The 19,351-nt window shown below is 37.4% G+C and overlaps 1 protein-coding gene and 1 long non-coding RNA gene across 2 annotated transcripts in view, besides 1 other annotated feature; both read left to right on the forward strand.

The window, feature by feature from the left end:
- LOC124903185 (uncharacterized) lies at positions 1-5,462 on the forward strand. The gene is made up of 3 exons (XM_047430828.1): positions 1-620; positions 974-1,150; positions 5,170-5,462. The coding sequence occupies exons 1-3, from the start codon at positions 558-560 to the stop codon at positions 5,296-5,298; spliced, it is 369 nt and encodes a 122-aa protein (XP_047286784.1). The 5' UTR covers positions 1-557; the 3' UTR covers positions 5,299-5,462.
- Positions 5,463-9,955: 4,493 nt separating this feature from the next.
- LOC124903186 (uncharacterized) overlaps positions 9,956-19,351 on the forward strand; it is a 35,583-nt gene continuing 26,187 nt past the window's right edge. Inside the window, exon 1 of the long non-coding RNA XR_007063828.1 lies at positions 9,956-10,048. This is a non-coding gene — a long non-coding RNA (uncharacterized LOC124903186). The remainder of the gene's footprint in view (positions 10,049-19,351) is intronic.
- Positions 11,963-12,172: an enhancer, noted in NCBI's record as "active region_7844". NCBI's record gives its function as "activates an Ori minimal core promoter by ATAC-STARR-seq in GM12878 lymphoblastoid cells {active_cell/tissue: GM12878}" and the evidence as "EXISTENCE:reporter gene assay evidence [ECO:0000049][PMID:35858748]".

A 19,351-nucleotide genomic window follows, 5' to 3' on the forward strand; every position in this document is an offset into this window, starting at 1 on the left:
TGGCCTAAAGGAATAATATTAACGTATATGAATATCTAATATTCATAGCTATGTATGCTATAGCTTTACCATTGGGGCAAGCCAGACCATGAAAGAACTGTACCCCACATTATATACATTTGCTTTCTGCTTCACATTTGGGTGTTATGACATCAGCTGCCCTCCCAGACCCACCGTTCTAGGGTACAGCAGAACTCAAAGTGTTTGTCAACTTGGACTTCCGCCTGTCCACTAGCTTGCCTTAAGCAGATTCTGAGGAGCTGCACTCAAGATTGATCCCCTATGTTCTTTTGGTCTCATATTCTCTAGCCTTTCTTGTAACAGGCATACCAGGTCAAATGAGGGACATCTGTCCATTTGCAAACAAGCCAACCTCATCCCTGAGGTCAGTGATGAAGTGCTGAGTAACGAACTGGAAAAGCAAATAAGTAAAGGAGTTAGGAAGGACACTTTCTTATTCGGAGCTCACTAGAGAATGTGATTTTTCCTGAACAACTGCATACTTCCTAGTATGCCTTTTGGTAAACTACCCACGTTTCCCACAATATGTACCTGATATGGAGAGGGAAAAAAGCAAACCATGGCGGTCTAAGCAGCTTAGATTTGATAAAAATAATAAGGTAATTGCATACATTTTGCTTTTGTTTTGTCTCTAAAACCATTGTCTTTCTCATGGGTCAAACTGGGCTAGTGGGCTGAGGATATTTTGTTTTTGAAAGGGTTTTAATAGCATCTCTGACCAAATTTGCTTCACTTAAAATATTCTTTAGTGAAACAAGATTACCTCCTCCCACCTCAATCCCCTACAACCCAGTTTATTAACTATGAGATCTAATGAAATTATTCTCAGCTGGTCCCAGAAAAACAACACACTCTGTTTACCAGCTTTTTTTAATCAACAGGATTAAGACATGTAGCTTCCAATTATGCATACAAAAGGAGAAATGGTGATGTTTTTGCTTTGTCTGAACAGAGTGGTTCCTTCAGTTCATTTTCCAAACCCTTCTGCCAGAACAAGCTGGTTCTTCTGGGAAGACGGAACTGCCTACGGCCATATGCACCCATCTGTTCTTCTCTGCAAAAATGTCTTGGCCTTTTCCACACAGAGCCAGTGGGTGGTGGGGGTGACCACTGCAGGTGGACAGGCCAGGTAAGCCTCGGTCAGGTAAGGGGACATTCGTGGTTAAATGTGCAAGTATAAGAAAACCATTAAAAAAGAAGAGTTTGCTGTAACAAAGTTACTTCTCTGCCCCTGCTGTGGGCCATTAGTTATTTCTCTGCAGAGAAATAACTTTCTTAAAGCAAACTCTGCTTTGTAATGGTTTTCTTATTGGCCCACAGCCCTCTGCTGGCCCTATACTCTGAATCTTCTTATAGAAATGCTCTTCTTGGTCTTTGCTAGACATTGTCAAATAGCTTGTTTATGTGCTGTTTGCATTGCAGCTCTGAGATCACACCTGTATGCAGTTCTATAATTCTTTTGCCAAGGACAACAATTAGCTTCTGGTTTTTTTGTTTGTTTGTTTCCTTGCTTAATTTATATTTCAACAACTCCTGGAAAATACACTTGAATTTGCAACCTCCACAACAGGATCACGCGGGAAGCATATAGGAGCTTGTGGAAGAATGGGTTGAGAGAAGGAAATTGATGTTTCTTTTTTATTTATTTTATTTTAAGGGTAAAATTATTATGAATACTACTGTTTTAAAATATTTTATTTCCATAGGTTTTGGGGGAACAGGTGGTATTTGGTTACATAAGTTCTTTAGCCATGATTTGTGAGACTTTGGTGCACCCGTCACCCAAGCAGTGTACACTGAACCCAATTTGTAGTCTTTATTCCTCACCCCCTCCCACCCTTTCCCCCTGTGTCCCCAAAGTCCATTTTGTCATTCTTATGCATTTGCATCCTCATAGCTTAGCTTCCATTTATGCGTGAGAGCATTCAATGTTTGGTTTTCCATTCCTGAGTTACTTCACTTAGAATAGTAGTCTTCAATCCCAGCCAGGTTGCTGTAAATGCTGTTAATTCATTTCTTTTTTATGGCTGAGTTGTATTCCATTGTGTATATATACCACCGTTTCTTTATCCACTTATTGATTGGTGGACATTTGGGTTGGTTCCACATTTTTTCAATTGCAAATTATGCTGCTATAAACATGCATGTGCAAGTATCTTTTTCATATAAAGACTTCTTTTCCTCTGGGTAAATAGCCAGTAATGAGATTGCTGGATCAAATGGTAGTTCTACTTTTAGTTCCTTAAGGAGTCTACATACTGTTTTCCATAGTGGTTGTACTAGTTTACATTCCCACCAGAAGTGTAGAAGTGTTCCCTTTTCACCACATCTCCACCAACATCTATTATTTTTGATTTTTTGACTATGGCCATTCTTGCAGGGGTAAGGTGGTATCATATTGTGGTTTTGATTTGCATTTCCCTGATCATTAGTGCTGTTGAGCATCTTTTCATATGTTTGTTGGCCATTTGTATATCTTCTTTTGAGAACTGTCTATTCATATTCTTAACCCACTTTTTGATGGGATTTTTTTTTCTTGCTCATTTGTTTGTGTTCATTGTAGATTCTGGATATTAGTCCCTTGTCGGATGTATAGATTGTGAAGATTTTCTCTCACCCTGTGAGTTGTCTGTTTACTCTGCTGACTGTTCCTTTTGCTTTGCAAAAGCTCTTTAGTTTAATTAAGTCCCACCTATTTATCTTTGTTTTTATTGCATTTGCTTTTGGGTTCTTTGTCATGAAATCCTTGCCTAAGCCAATGCCTAGAAGGGTTTTTTCCGATGGTATCTTCTAGAATTTTTATAGTTTCAGATCTTAGATTTAAGTCCTTGATCCATCTTGAGTTGATTTTTGTATAAGGCGAGAGGTGAGGATCTAGTTTCATTCTCCTACATATGGCTTGCCAATTATCCCAGCACCATTTGTTGAATAGGGTGTCTTATGTTTTTGTTTGCTTTGTCAAAAATAAGTTGGCTGTAAGCATTTGGGTTTCTTTCTGGGCTCTCTATTCTGTTCCACAGGTCTATGTGCCTATTTTTATACCAGTACCACGCTGTTTTGGTGACTATGGCCTTATAGTATAGTTTGAAATCAGGTAATGTGATGCCTCCAGATTTGTTATTTTTGCTTAGCCTTGCTTTGGCTATGCGGGCTCTTTTTTTGGTTCCATATTAATTTTAGGACTTTTTTTTTTTAGTTCTGTGACAAATGATGGTGGTATTTTGATGGGAATTGCATTAAATTTGTAGATTGCTTTTGGCAGTATGGTCATCTTCACACTATTGATTCTACTCATTTATGAGCATGAGATGTGTTTCCATTCCTTTGTGTCATCTATGATTTCTTTCAGCAGTGTTTTGTAGTTTTCATTGTAGAGAGGTCTTTCACCTCCTTGGTTAGGTATATTTCTAAGTATTTTATTTTATTTTATTTTTGAAACTATTGTAAAAGGGGTTGAGTTCTTGATTTGATTCTCAGCTTGGTTGCTACTGGAGTATAGCAGAGCTACTGATTTGTGTACATTAATTTTGTATCCTGAAACTTTGCTGAATTCATTTATTAGTTCTAGGAGCTTTTTGGAGGAGTCTTTAGGGTTTTCTAGGTACACGATCATATCAACAGCAAACAGTGACAGTTTGACTTCCTCTTTACTGATTTGGATGCTCTTTCTTTCTTTCTCTTGTCTGATTGCTCTGGTTAGGACTTCTAGTACTATGTTGAATAGAAGTAATGAGAGTGGGCATTCCTGTCTTGTTCCAGTTATCAGGGGGAATGCTTTCAACTTTTCTGCATTCAGTATTATGTTGGCTGTGGGTGTGTCATAGATGGCTTTTGTTACATAGAGGTATGGATGTTCCTTTTTTTGAAAAAAATTATTTGATCCAGCAATCCCACTACTGGGTATCTACCCAGAGGAAAACAAGTCATTATACGAAAAACATACTTGCACACCTATGTTTATAGCAGCACGATTCTCAATTGCAAAGGTATGGAACCAGCCCAAATGCCCATCAAACAATGAGTGGATAAAGGAATTGTGTTATATATACACTATGGAATACTGCTCAGCTATAAGGAGGAATGAAATAATGGCATTCGCAGTGACCTGGATGGAATTGGAGATTATTATTCTAAGTGAAGTAACTCAGGAATGGAAAACCAAGCATCGTATGTTTTCACTTATAAGTTGGAGCTAAGCTACGAGGATACAAAGGCATAAGAATGATACAATAGACTCTGAGGACTTGGGGGAAAGGATGGGAGGTGCTGAGAGATAAAAGACTATGCTGTACATTGGGTATAGTGTACACTGCTCGGGTGATGGGTGCACCCAAATCACAGAAATCACCACTAAAGAACTTATTCATGTAACCAAACACCACCTGTTCCCCAAAAACCTATTGAAATAAAAAAAGTGCAAGAAATTTACATGTGCCAGTGCTTTTTTTCACTTAATCTCTCTCTCTCTCAGCTGTTTTATTTCTAGGTCCTTAATTCTAATAATATGTGACTTCCTAACATTTCATTTGACTAAAAATTACAAAACTGATCTGAAATTCACCATAGTGGGGTTTTACCATGTGGGTAAAGTGGACCCACAGACTTAAAAATTGTAGAATCTGAGAGTAAGAAGCAACTTATGCAATCCTCTAATTTAGTTCTTTCATTTTTCAGAGAAGGAAACTGAGGCTCAGCGAAGTTACGTGATTTGCCTATAGTTACAGAGCTAGTAAAAAGTTTAAACTGTTAGATGAACTCCTATTTGCTACTCTACCCAGTGACAGAGAATACTGAATGCATCTATTTACTCAGACATATGAACTATAGTGACTAAAAACAGTTGTGATGTGTGATGTACATTGTTGGGGGTCAGAATATAATACACCAAAATGAAGGTCTCAGAGCAGCATGGAAGCAAAAGTTTTTCTCTGACTTTCTCTGGTCCTCCTGTCTCTGGCCCCCTCATACTCCCTTGAGGCTAGCCATAGAAACTAGAATCCCTCCTCCAAGGTGGGTCATAGAAAACCAGAACCCTTTATCCCAAAGCCAGCCATAAAAACCTAAAAATATTACTTTAACTTTACCTCCACCTTTCTGTGTAAAAACTTGTCATAAAGAAATTATCTGACCTACCTTGTTTGATTGTAGATTGCAAGAGCCCCCATTCTAGAGAGGGTCCTGTCCCATACCCAGAAGGAAGGAATGCTGCACAGAGGCCAAGAAGAATCCAGACAGACAGGCCTTGCCGGGCTTCCCCGCTCAGTCTGTTTGTTTTAGACCATGCCTTCTTTGTCCAGTCATATTTCTACAAGCCTGACCATACTTTGCTGAACCAAAGCATGAACATGGACAGTTTGCTCTATATCTTTGGGTCTTCATCCTGAAGGATCCTGTGTCACATATAAAACTATGATCAAATAAATTTGTATGCCTTCCTCCTATTAATCTGCCTTTTGTCAGTTGATTTTAAGTGAACCTTTGGAAAGCTAAAGGGAAGCTTTCCCTAGGTCCCTGTAACATGTTATGTTTTAGAGGTTTCAAAATTATTCAAATGCTTTTGTATGTTTTGAATATTTTCATGGCATGACACACGTTCGTGTGTGTGTGAAACTTTGCATAATTTTAGTAGTTTTAACTTTTGCTGTCATAAAAATAATTTAGTTTTATATTTAGGAAAATCTTAAAACTCTATGGTTAGTTGGTAAATAGTGATAAAAGAAAAAATTTCAGCCAAATTAAATTTAAAGGAGTTTGCTTGAACAATGAATGATTCACGAATCAGGCAGCCCCCAGAATCGCAGCAGATTCACAGAGACTCCAGTGCAGCCATGTGGTGGGAGAAGATTTATAGAACAAAAAGAGGGAAATGACATACAAAAATCAGCAACGAGGTACAGCAACGGCTGGACTGGTTACAGGTTGGCATTTGCCTTATTTGAACACAGTTTGAACACTTAGCAGCCTATGAGTGGTTGAAGTATGGCTGCTGGGATTGGCCACAGCTATTATTACAGGTGCATACTCCTAAATTAGGTTTTCAATCTTGTCTGACTATTAAGCTACATTACAGTTCATCTACAAGGACTCAAATATAGAAGTATGGAGTCCTTCTCAGGCTATATTTAGTTTGCTTTAACAATAGATACTGGTAGAAAGATTAAAGAGAGTCATAAAGTATGTCCACTTCATGCAGCTATAAGGTTGGACTAATTAGGCAAAGTAGATAATACATCTGAAAAATTCTGGCAAAAAATCAAAACAAAACAAAACAATCAAATTCACCATTTATTTTCCAAACCAAAATTTCTTTGGTTTTTGCTTATTTGTGTTTATACTTCTGTAAAATTCCTACTCAGAGTACCTAGTTGATCATAATCTCAGAATAAGTTATTAAACTTTATAGTCTGTACTTCCTACTGAGGTATAATCATTATATATATATCTGAAATTTAATGGTGTCACTTTCTCAGCAGTGCTATTGAAGTGATTAAGCTATTATATATCTAATTATTTTGAAATTAAAAATAAAGATTTTGTACAGATTAGGGGGTCTCACTGTGTTGCCCAAGCTGATCTTGAACTCCTGGGCTCACATAAACCTCCCACCTTGGCCTCCCAAAATGCTGAGATTGCAGATGTGAGCCATCATGCTCAGCCTTTTTTTTTTTTTTTGACATTTTAAAATTAATACACATTGTACATATTTATGGGGGTAGATGTGATATTTTGTTATGTGCATAGACTGTGTAATGATCAAGTCAGGGTTTTTGGGGTGCTTGTCACCTCCAATGTTTATCATTTCCAAGAGCTAGGAACATTTTAAGTGCTCTCTTCTAGTTATTTTGAAATATACAATACATTGTTAACTATAGTCACACTACTCTGCTGTTGAACATTAGAACTTATTCTATCTAGCTGTATGTTTGTACTCTTTAACCAACCTGTCTTTGTTACCCCCTTCCCACCACAGACACATTCTTCCCAGCCTCTGGTAATCATCATTCTACTCTCTATCTCTATGTGATCAACTTTTTTAGCTCCCACATGTGTGTGAGAAAATGTGATGTGTGTCTTTCTGTGCCTGGATCATTTCACTTAACATAATGACCTCCAGTTCCACCCATGTTGCTGCAAGTGACATGATTTCATTCTTTTCATGGCTGAATAGTATTCCATTGTGGTGTATATATACTATATTTCCTATATCTATTTGTCCATTGATGGATACTTAGGTTGATTCCATATCTTTGCTATTGTAAACAGAGCTGTGATAAGCATGCGAGTGGAGGTATCCCTTTGGTATACTGATTTCTTTTCCTTTGGATAAATATCCAATGGTGGGGTTGCTGGATTATATAATAGTTCTGTTTTTTGTTTTTTTGAGTAATTGCCATACTGTTTTCCATAATGGCTATACTAATTTACTAATATTTAATGATATCTCACTGTGGTTTTGATTTGCATTTCCCTGATTATTAGGGATGTTGAGTATTTCTCATATACCTGTTGACCATTAAATTATGTTTTAATATGATATCTCTGTAAAGGTTAAGTACTTTTTAGGACATGGACCTGGAATGATTGCCAGAATTCATCGTTTGAATGGAATTAATTTTCAAATTTAGCAGGCATATACTTTCCATTTCTCCATCCTACTAAATAAATTAAAAGTTAATTTACCAGGGTGGTGGGCTTGACAGGAACAGGGAACAAGTTTTACTTTCATTTTCTGGGACCACTCCTGAGCTTGATATGCCTTTTAAACACTGACCCTCTGCCTGCCTATCTGCTTTTACTTATACTCACCTTGGAGCAGGTTCTCTTCTCTACTTCCTTTTCTGGGCAGTCTCCAGGGCGGCTTTAGCCTCTTCACTTGCTTCTGTTACAGCATGACTAACCCAGAGCTTGCCCAAAATGTGGTAGTCTGATGAATGGTCCTCCAAAGATGTCCATGGTCCTAATCACTGGGATCTGTGAGTATATTACTTTTTATGGTAAAAGGGATTAGCAGCTATGGTTAAGTTAAGGGTTTAGAGATGAGGAGATTATCCAGATAGGCTTAACGTCATCACAAGGTTCTTTATAAGCAGAAGTCAGGAGGATCAAAGTCAAAAAAAGAAGATGTGATGACAAAACCAGAGGTTGGAGGGATGTCCTTTGAAGATGGGAAAGGGGCCAGGAGCTACGGAATGTAGGCAGCTTCTACCAACTGGAAAAGCGAAGGAAACAGATTCTTCCCTGAGCCTCTGGGAGGCAGCAGTCCCGATAAGACCTGGATTTTAGACTTCTGACCTCCACAACTGTAGGAGAGTAATTTGTGTTATTTCAAGTTACTCTATTTATGGTAACTTGTTATAGCAGCAGTAGGGAACTCATCCAATTACCATATATATAAAAGCTCTTTCAAGATCATAATACCATGTTAGGTATTATTCGTAGTAGAATATCATAATACTTACAAGTCCTTTTCCTTAATATTGTATTTAAAAATTAAATGTATTTTTAAAAAATGTATTTCAAAGCTTGCTTAAAAATATTCTTGTAGACAAATATTGTACTATTTCTGTATTTTAAAATTAATTTGTTCAGTTTATACTTATTAAACATCTATTATGTGCAAAAGAGTATGTTGCAGAGGACACAGAAATGTTTAGGACATGGACTTTAATTCCAAGGATCTCATAAGGTTGACCTCTAGAAGCTATACTATTGCATAAATAACTGTTGCCTGGGTTGGCATACTGTATTAGCTAGCTACGGCTGCATAATAAAGTACCACAGACTGGGGGGCTCAGACAACAGTAATTTATTTTCCCACAATTCTGGAAGCTAGAAGTCCAAGATCAAGGTGTTGTGAAAGGAAAATAAATCTTAGGACCCCCCAAAATCACCAAGCCAAGGGAAAAGTCAAGCTGGGAACTACCTCAGGCAAACCTGCCTCCTATTTTATTCCTAGATAAGATAGCTAAAAAGGTAAAAGAGCTCCATACTTCCCTCACAATTTTCCTATAAGGAATTCTTCATGGGGCTCAAGATTTTTGCCCTAACGCAGTTCTGCTGAATTTCACCCTGGCAATGTAAACGGATAGCTTATCTCCACCGATGCAGGACATAAAGTCACCCCTCTGCTTACCTGAAACAAATGCACATCTATCTGATTTCTTCCTCTACCCTATTGTTTATGTAAAAATGCAGAATCACTGAGCCAGACTAAATTGTGTATTCAGTGGAAGGCTGACCAAGGACTCAAAAGAATGCAACTTCTTCTCTCTTATCTACCTATGACCTGGAAATCTCTGCTTCAAGTTGTTGCACCTTATGGGACCGAACCAATTTACATCTTACACATATTGATTGATGTCTCTTGTCTCTCTAAAATGTGTAAAAGCAAGCTGTACCCTGACCACCTTAGCACATTGTCAGGACCTCCTGAGGTTGTGTCACATGCGTGTCCTTAACCGTGACAAAATAAACTTGATAAATTGGTTGAGACCTGTCTCAGATATTTTGGGTTCACAGGATTGATTTCTTCTAAGCTCTGTCTCTCCTTTGCTTATAATGTGTTTCCTCCTTTGTTTTTACTTGGTCTTCCCTTTGTGCCTGTGTCCTACTTTTTTTTTTTTTTTGAGATGAAGTCTTGCTCTTTTCCCCCAGGCTGGAGTGCAATGGCGCAATCTCAGCTCACTGCAACCTTCACCTCCTGGGTTCAAGCGATTCTCCTGCCTCAGGCTCCTGAGTAGCTGGGATTACAACCATGTGCCACCATGCCCAGCTAATTTTTGTGTTTTTAGTAGAGATGGGGTTTCACCATGTTGGCCAGGCTGGTCTTGAACTCCTGACCTCAGGTGATCTGCCCGCCTCGGCCTCCCAAAGTGCTGGATTACAGGCTTGAGCCACTGTGCCCGGCCCTATTCTCCTCTTCTTATAAGGATACCAGCCATATTGGGTTACAACCCACCCTCATGACCTCATTCAAACTTAATTACCTCCATGAGGATCGCATCTCCAAATACAATCACATTCCAAGGTAAGGGGGTTGAGATTTCAATATAAAAATTGGGGGAGAACACAGTTCAGCCCATAACACATGCTAAGTGTGTGCTTTGGGAAAATTCAGAGAAGAGTGAGCTACTCTAGATATTGCTAATAGTAGAATTCACTCACAAATCAACTGATTAACAATGACATACTTGCCATGTGTGGTTACTGATAATCCAAGAATGAGCTATCCTTCCCAGAATGTACGGTGACAAATGGAGGAATCCTGATGAAGACATATAGAAACAGTAAATAAAATGATGGAACACATTTATGTCTTCATGAAAAGCACTTAGAACCAAGTACAGAAATTCTTTGGTGCAGTTGTTCAATTCCATTCTCAGGTGACAAACAAAGCCAACAGCTATGAGCCTTCTGATGATTCTGCCCTTTTGAAGTAACTAAGTTTGCACAATGACATTTACTATACTTTTAGGAACTGGCATGCCTAGGCTTAATGCATCTTTGTTGAGACAAAAAAAAAAGTTATGGTTTCTATAAGAGAATCTGTTCCAGGAGAAAGAGAATGACATATTGGATATGTTAGATAAGCAAAATATGCTAAGTTCCTTGGGGTCCTAATTAACATATTCCAGAGAAAAGTCCCACCCTAAAGTTTAGGTTCAATTATCAGAGGTCAAAATGTAATTCTGTTAGGAAAGCAGACAATGTTCACAGCAATCCTTTCATGTCCTTATGAACAAAAATGAAAATGTTCAAGTTGGTGGGAACTCATAGGAGTTAGTAATTTAATCAACATACTTTGGCCCATCATTGGGCCAAATTCTAGTGCTCTAATGCTGTAGATGGAAATATGTGGACAAAGGACTGAGCAAGATAAGATGGTCATTTAAGATAACTCATTCATTATAAGAAAATATAAAAGTAACAAAACACCATGTAAGAGAGTTTGAAGAAAAGATGAATATGATCTTTGATTTTCTAGGCACAGAAAAATAATGAAGAAATTCCAGTTTTAGGTTATTCTTTTTTTGTGCAAGTATCTGCTAATTACATATCTTATGCATTTCTCATTATCTATCATTTCAGACAAATTGTGCCTATAGACAATTTCAAAATAAATGTTTTCATACAAAGAAATAAAATGGGAGAATGGGAGCATGCCTAGTAATGACAGTTAAAATTCTGTCTTTTCCAAAATAGTACTGTTTCCATTGTAGAGTAACTGAATTCAATTATCTAAACTGTGTGTTTTTGTTAGCAACATGTGAATTTATTTAATGGTAGTGTGCAATTTTTAGTAGGAGTTACTGGAATTTTTCTAAGAACGTTGATTCACCTCAGATCACATTGTTTTTCAGATACAGTCTGTTGGATTTTAACAAAAACCCCATAGCTAATCACAGGTGAAAATAATGATACCATGTAACTATTTTCATTGATGGTGTTGGTTTTTGTCTTAGATCTAGCACAACAATGTGTTTCTTAGCAAACACTCCCTGTATTCAAGCAGACATTGTCACACACTTAGAGGAAGAGATGAAAAAGGCTGTATAGGACCATCCATAAAGTACAGAGGGGATACTTGCAGACCAGTAACCAACTTCTACGTTAGTTAAATTGAAAGCAATTTATATCATAACTTGAGTGAGTGAGGTTGGAAAAAATGTTCTTGACAATGAAGATGCTTAAACTTAAATAGGGGAGATTTTACAGAGAGAGGATGAGTAACCCAGAGTCTCAAGGCCCAGATATATTTAGCAGATAGGGCCAATTTTGTGATTCTGTGCCAGAGAGATGGGGAGGCTTTCTAAAGCGGATCTTAAGTGAAGTCAAGAGATGTAGAAAAAAGGGAAGAGAAACCTGAAGGGCAGTTTCTTATCACTTTAGTTGTATTAGTCCTTCTTCATGCTGCTGGTAAAGACATACCCGAGACTGGGCAATGTACAAAAGAAACAGGTTTAATGGACTCACAGTTCTACTTGGCTGGGGAGGCCTCACAAACATGGCAGGAGGTGAAAGACCTGTCTCACATGGCGGTACACAAGAAAAGAGAGCTTGTGCAGGGAAACTCCCCTTTATAAAACCATCATATCTCATAAGACGTAGTCACCATCATGAGAATAGCATGGGAAAGACCTGCCCCCATGATTCAATTACCTCCCACTGGGTCCCTCCCACAACACGGAACTGTGGGAGCTACAGTTCAAAATGAGATTTGGGTGGTGGCACAGCCAAACCACATCGTTACTCATATGTCTCAGTAATCACATAAAGGCACCCAGCAAATATTTGTGGATCTTCCCTGCTCTGTGCAAAGCCAACAGAAGAGCATATAAAACAAAAACAACACTAACCTTGTGTGTTTACCTAATTGCAGAGGAGCTTCAAGGAAAGCTACTCAATTTGCTTTTTTTAGATTACAGTACAGGGGTTAGCAAACCGCAGCCTGTGGGCCAAATCTGGTCGGATGCCTATTTTTGTATGGCCTATGAGCTAAGAATTGTTTTTATAGTTGAACATGTCCAATTTATTTGATGATAGGGCAAACTAATTTGGAACCCCAATTAAACTAAATGCTATCACCCCCAAAAGAATTCCATTCTTCTCATTAGTAGACCTGTGTTACAAAATATTATACTCTATTATTAATATTTAATTAAAATACTTTCAATAAAATTTTAATGGCAGTTTATTTTCTCTGTTATGTAAGTACCTACTATATATATATAGTAGGTATAGGCTTGGCCTATAAAGCCTAAAGTATATTCTATCTGAGACTTTGCGGTAAATGTTTGCTGACCCCTGTTCTAGTGAACTAACTAGATAGGAGATGCTCTGTGTAATTTCAGCAGTTTATGATATCTCAGATCCTCTTTCACTAATCTGAAAATGATTGGTAACATTTCTCACCCCATACCATTTAAGTACAAGATGTCCTTGACTCTTCATCAACTGCTACATTAATAATGAACATAACCCTGGGAAATTTGGGGATTTCATATGGTGCGAAGAGAGGTCACTTTGAGGTATTCAGCTGGTGGATGGCTTCTCTTACATGTCCCCTTGGCAGGGATCACTAGAAGTCTGGCTCAGCTGGGGCTATTCACCATGGTGGCTACATAATGGCTTCTCCAGTATGGTGATTTCAGGTTAGTTGAATTTTTACATTATAGCTCAAGACTAGCAAACATAGTGTTTGAAGAAGCTTGAGTGGAAGCTTCAAGACTTATGACCAAGATTAGAAGTCCTGGAATGTCACTTCTACCATTTTCTACTGCTCAAGAAAGTCACTAAGACCAGCCCAAATCCAAGGAGAGAGGAATTAGATTTCAACTCTCAACAGGAGAAGTACCATACTAAAGACTATATGACCATCTTTGGTAAGGTATAATCTATGATGTCTTCTATTCTTGGTTTTCAAACTTTTTATAGGCTATGTATATGTTAGATCTTTTCATTCTAGCCTATATGTTTACACTTTTTACAGTGGCTTTTTTTCATTTTTTTTCTCCCCATGCTTTAGTGGATATATTCTATAAAACTTCCTTCTGATTTCTAATTTTTTCTTTTGCTATGTCTAAATTGGAGTTAACCCCATCTATTGGATTTTAATTTTTTTGTTATTGTAGTGCCTATTTACAGACTTTTTACTTAGATGTAATTTTTTTTGTAGATGCTAGTTCTCTAGTGAAATTTTCCATCTTGTCATTTATTTTCTTAGATATATTTACAATGATTTCCAAGACCACAAGTAATAACTGTAATATCTGGATCACCTATAGGACTGCTTCCATTGTCTGTTTTCTCTATTATATGCCAGATATTTTGTCTTTTCCAGGCATACCTTGTAGTTTTTAAATTGAGTGCCAGACATTGTGTTTGAAAAATTGTATAAATAATTTGAGGCTTTCATAGATGTTACCTTCCTCCAGGGAGGATTTTCCCCCCTTTCTAATTAGCAATTAGATTAAGAGAAGTTCACCACAGTTCAACCTGAGGTTGAGTTGACTCAGAGATGGTTTCAGTACTTGGTAAAATTAAGTCTAATTGTAGTTCACATTTATTCTCAGACTATAGTCTTTCTGAAGTCTTGACTGGAAGTATAAGAAATTTACTAGTAGTCTTCCTTCTGGGAGGGCCCTGAACTCTAATTTTTCAGTAGTAAGATTGTTGAACACTGTTTAGGATTCCAGCTTTTAGACATTAACTTCTTCTTGGTTTCTTAGTGTCTCAATCCTATGTAGCTGTAGCTTAGAAATCATCAAATGCATCAGACTTCCGCAGATTGTTGAGGTCATGTCAACAAGCTTCTTTTCTCTCTGGGATCACGGCTCCTGAAGTATTGACTGCTTTGGTAGCTTCCTGATTTCTCTAAAGAGATTTTTAACTTTTGTTCAGCTGCCCTAGTCATATTCAAATTGGAATGCAGTAAGCTCTTTTACTATTACTGAAAATGACCAATTTTCTTTTATCACAACAATTAATTTTTCTCCTATGTTCCAAGTTAAACCAAAAAGATAGTTTTTGGTTTAATGATTCTAGACGTTCAGTCATCAGCCTCCCAGACTCATTAATTGGCTTTCTTGGCCATTTTCTATTGCCATTCTTCTGTTGTCTACCCTAGCATTTGTCACTTCATGTTACTTTAAAAAAAATAGTTCCTTTAAAATTCATCTATTATTCTTCAGCTACTAGTCTCTGCTCTTGTTACATTTCCTTTGGATTTGCTTAAATTGTAATTATCTATTGCTGTATAAGTACCTTGAAAATTAGTGGCTTATGATTTGCTATTTCTCTTACAGGTTGACTGGCAGGTCTTCTGCTCCATGCTGTATCAACTGGGGTCACACAAATATAATTAGTTGGTGGCTGGGCTGGGTCTAGAAGATTGAAAAAGACCCCCCTTATACATCTGGTGGCTCAGCTGGGGTGGTTTGAGTGGCTGGAGCACCTCGGTCCTCTTCCAGGTAGATCTCTTCCTTGAGCAGTCTAAGCTGGCTTCCTTCAAACATGACAACTGGTTTCCAAAAGGGTTCTTAAAGTCTCAGCTCAGAACAGGCACAGTGTCTATCACTTCTGCTGCATCCTCTTGGCCAAAATAAGTCATAAGTCCAGATCAGAGCTGAGAAGAGGGGAAATAGATTCTCCTTCTTGAAGAGAAGATTGGCATGCACATCTAAAGATAAGAATAATTGTTGGCTACCTGTGTAGGAGCACATTCCTTTTTTTGGGTACAATTTACTGAGACTACACGGACTTGTTTGGCTTCTGCCCAGAATTTTCCCCTTAGCAACTGCTAAGTTCAGTTGATTTCCACAGTAGGCTCAGGCAAAGCATAAGTGCTCTGTTCAGTATCAACATCAGACAGAGAGAATTTTACTTGGACCTTTTCTAATTACTTGCCACGGTTTAATAATTATCAGTCTGTCTTCTCCCTCAACCCCTCTGAGCCAAATCTGCCTATGCCCTACTCTTATTATCGCTTTTTAAATTATTTGAACCTAACTACTTTCTGGGACCACAACATCTTGTCTTTCTTCTTCAAGACATCTTTGCTTTACATCTTCAGAACATTGTCATCTTCTAGTAGTCTCTTTCCAGTATTTTGGAAAATACTTGCATTGCTTCCAATGGGAGAGTTGTTGTAGGTTCTACTCTTATTGGTTCTAAGGAAATTAATCCCTTTATTTCCAAAATAAAGTGATAGGTCCAAATCGATTTTAAATAGAGTAAAACTTGGGTACACTTGGACCCATAGGCTATAAGGGGCCTGTGTGTATAGAAAGTTTTAGTCATTTTGAGAGTTCCCATTATATATTTTGAAAATAAAAATTTGGTCTTGAATAGAATCAAATTTGGCCAGATTTTCTTAACAATCTGGCAGCAGTATTATGCTACTGGCATATTTATTTTGGTTTGTCCCAAGCTTTAGCAAGAATAGAGTAGGTAAGTTCCAAATATTTAAATAAATCTATATTTCATTGCAATAATCTTAAAAATTAATATATTATTCTGTGAGTTGCTTGAGACACTGTAAAACTTACCTAACTAATGTCTAAATGCCTAAGCAATTAGAGGGCCAAATTATATGTTATCAAATAAAATGTAAACATTCACCTCTAAACAATATCAATAAGCAGGTTAAATTTGTCTTTTGTAATTCAGAATGTTTCTGTTAGTGAAAAATGTTGAAAATTACATAAATGCATTTATTATTGTATGTCTCTCAAAAAATGTATTATGCTTCTATTACTTTGATGTGTAAAGAAGGCATAAATACATCTTTTTCTTTTAAGAGATGGGGTCTCTCTATGTTGCCCGGGCTGGAGTGCTGTGGCTATTCACAGGTGTGATAATAGTGTACTGCAATCCCAAACTCCTGGCCTCAAGAAATCCTCTTGCCTTAGCCGCCCCAGGAGCTGGGACTATGGGTGCAAGCTACCTTGGTGGCCATAAATATATCTTATTGGGAAGTCAGGACTTCTCTGAGAGGGCTTTAAACATGGTCAGGTTTTTAGAATAGAAAAGTCTCTATTGGCAGTGACAAAGGTTAAGAGCTGTCTTAGCAACAGAAAACTCTTAGATAGTAGGCTACATTTTAGCTATAAGAATGAAGAAATCTTGGTGAGAATCATATATTAATATATTTGTTAACAATGCCTATATCTCACATAGATATTATAAGATTGTCCTTTTAAGAAATTATCCTTTTAAGATTTGTCATGCTTTTCAATTCAAAAAAACTCCCATAGCCAAAATGCAACTGAGATCTGAAATGTCAAATTTTTGCACTCTCTGCTTTGTCAGATTTCCAGTTGCTCTCTGGACCTTGGCCGACTTCACTGGCAAAGTCAAATTGATGACTTGCTTGTATTTCTGATTCCAGTTCTATTAATTCAAAGGGATTCTTTTTGAAGAATCAAAAAGTATTCTCAGTAGACTTATGCAAATCATTACTAGTTATTGCTCTGTGTACTTTTATTCAAAGTAAAATTGAAAAACATTAAGAACTTTCTGGGATAGTTACAAATTATGTGAGTGCTAGTTTTTCTTAAAGTGTGCTCTTTATTAATTTTATTTTTGACAATTCCCATCACCATATCTATGAAACAACATTCTTTCCTTAAGTTAAAAGACTAATTTCAAAAACTATTTAAGGATTACTATGGGAAAACAAAGATTAACAATCTATAATTATTTAGCATAGAAACTTAAGTGGTTGAAAAAAATGGAAGTTTTAAAACATTGCTGATTTTTTTCATGGCTAGTCATAATTAAAGTCTCCAAAATGTGTTTTAAAATTTATCTTCTGTTTAAATTAATACAATATTGCATATTTATCAGTGATGTCAAAGTTTTCAATTTCCAAGTAAATATTGGAAAATTTTTAGTTTTCTTGTCTTCGTTAACTTCTTCTTTCCTTTCTTATAAAATTAACTTACATCTTCCATTTATTTATTTATTTATTTCTGAGACAGAGTTTCACTCTGTTGCCCAGGCTAGAGTGCAGTGGCACGATCTCAGCTCACTGCAACCTCCGCCTCCCGGGGTCAAACAATTATCCTGCTTCAGCCTCCTGAGTAGCTGGGATTACAGGCATGCACCATCATGCCCGGCTAATTTTTGTATTTTTAGTAGACATGGGGTTTTGCCATGCTGACCAGGCTGGTCTTGAACTCCTGGCCTCAGGTTATCCACCCGGGTTAGCCTCCCAAAGTGCTTGGATTACAGGCGTGTGGAGCCCAGCCTACATCTTCCATTTTAAGATTTTATTTTTCACATCACATTTCTCTTCCATATTGTCTAATCCCAGCTACACTTATTATTATCCCCCCTCATTTCATTCATGCCTGATCCTTTTGTTTACTCTGCCTCTCCAGCTTGGAGCTCCTGTGTGTTTATGACTATGTTTGTAGCAATGCTTTTGTAATAGTAAGCAGACCTTCCACTGATTCAGCAAAGACTTATTGAGCACCTATTATGTGCCAATCAGAGTGCTAGATTTTGTAGGTAAGATAATGATAATCCTGCTGAGCTCTTTGAAGTTAGGGGTATGTCTTCTTCCTCCTGGTATTCCCTAGAGCTGAACACACACCTGACCCATGATAGAGCTTCCATAAATCATTATTAAAAGTATAGCCTAGACAATCCTAAGCAAAAAGAACAAAGCTGGAGGCATCACACTACCTGACTTCAAACTATTCTACAAGGCTACAGAACCAAAGCAGCATGGTACTGGTACCAAAACAGACATAGAGACCAATGGAACAGAAGAGACCTCAGAAATAACACCACACATCTACGACCATATGATCTTTGACAAACCTCACAAAAACAAGTCATGGGAAAAGGATTCCCTATTTAATAAATGGTTCTGGGAAAACTGGGTAGCCATATGTAGAAAGCTGAAACTGGATCCCTTTCTTACACCTTATATAAAAATTAATTCAAGATGGATTAAAGACTTAAATGTTAGACCTAAAACCATCAAAACCCTAAAAGAAAACCTAGGCATACCATTTAGGACATAGGCATGGGCAAGGAGTTAATGACTAAAGCACCAAAAGCAATGGCAACAAAAGCCAAAATAGACAAATGAGATCTAATTAAACTAAGGAGCTTCTGCACAGCAAAAGAAACTATCATCAAAGTGAACAGGCAACCTACAGAAAGGGAGAAAATTTTTGCAATGTACCCATCTGACAAAGGGCTAATATCCAGAATCTACAAAGAACTTAAAGGAATTTACAAGAAACAAACAAACAACACCATCAAAAAGTGGGCGAACGATATCAACAGACACTTCTCAAAGGAAGACATTTATGCAGCCAAAAAACATGAAAAAAAGCTCATCAGCACTGGTCATTAGAGAAATGCAAATCAAAACCACAATGAGATACCATCCACAATGAGATACCACGCCAGTTAGAATGGTGATCATTAAAAAGTCAGGAAACAACAGATGCTGGAGAGGATGTGGAGAAATAGGAATGCTTTTACACTGTTGGTGGGAGTGTAAATTAATTCAACCATTGTGGAAGACCATGTGGCGATTCCTCAAGGATCTAGAACTAGAAATACCATTTGACCCAGCAAATCCATTACTGGGCATATACCCAAAGAAACATAAATCATTCTACTGTAAAGACACATGCACACATATGTTTATTGCAGTGCTATTCACAATAGCAAAGACTTGGAACCAACCCAAATGCCCATCAGTGATAGACTGGATAAAGAAAATGTGTCACATGTACACCATGGAAGACTATGCAGCCATAAAAAAGGATGAGATCATGTCCTTTGCAGGGACATGGATGAAGCTGGA

The sequence above is a fragment of the Homo sapiens genome, chromosome 13, assembly GCF_000001405.40.
Source record: "Homo sapiens chromosome 13, GRCh38.p14 Primary Assembly".
Classification (NCBI taxonomy): Eukaryota; Metazoa; Chordata; class Mammalia; order Primates; family Hominidae; genus Homo; species Homo sapiens.

Coding starts and splice junctions, on each gene's coding strand:
- LOC124903185 (XM_047430828.1), top strand. CDS start 558: ATGGAGAGGGAAAAAAGCAAACCATGGCGGTCTAAGCAGCTTAGATTT. Junction 621..973: donor GATTTGATAAAAATAATAAG/GTAATTGCATAC, acceptor TTGTCTGAACAG/AGTGGTTCCTTCAGTTCATT. Junction 1,151..5,169: donor ACTGCAGGTGGACAGGCCAG/GTAAGCCTCGGT, acceptor GTTTGATTGTAG/ATTGCAAGAGCCCCCATTCT.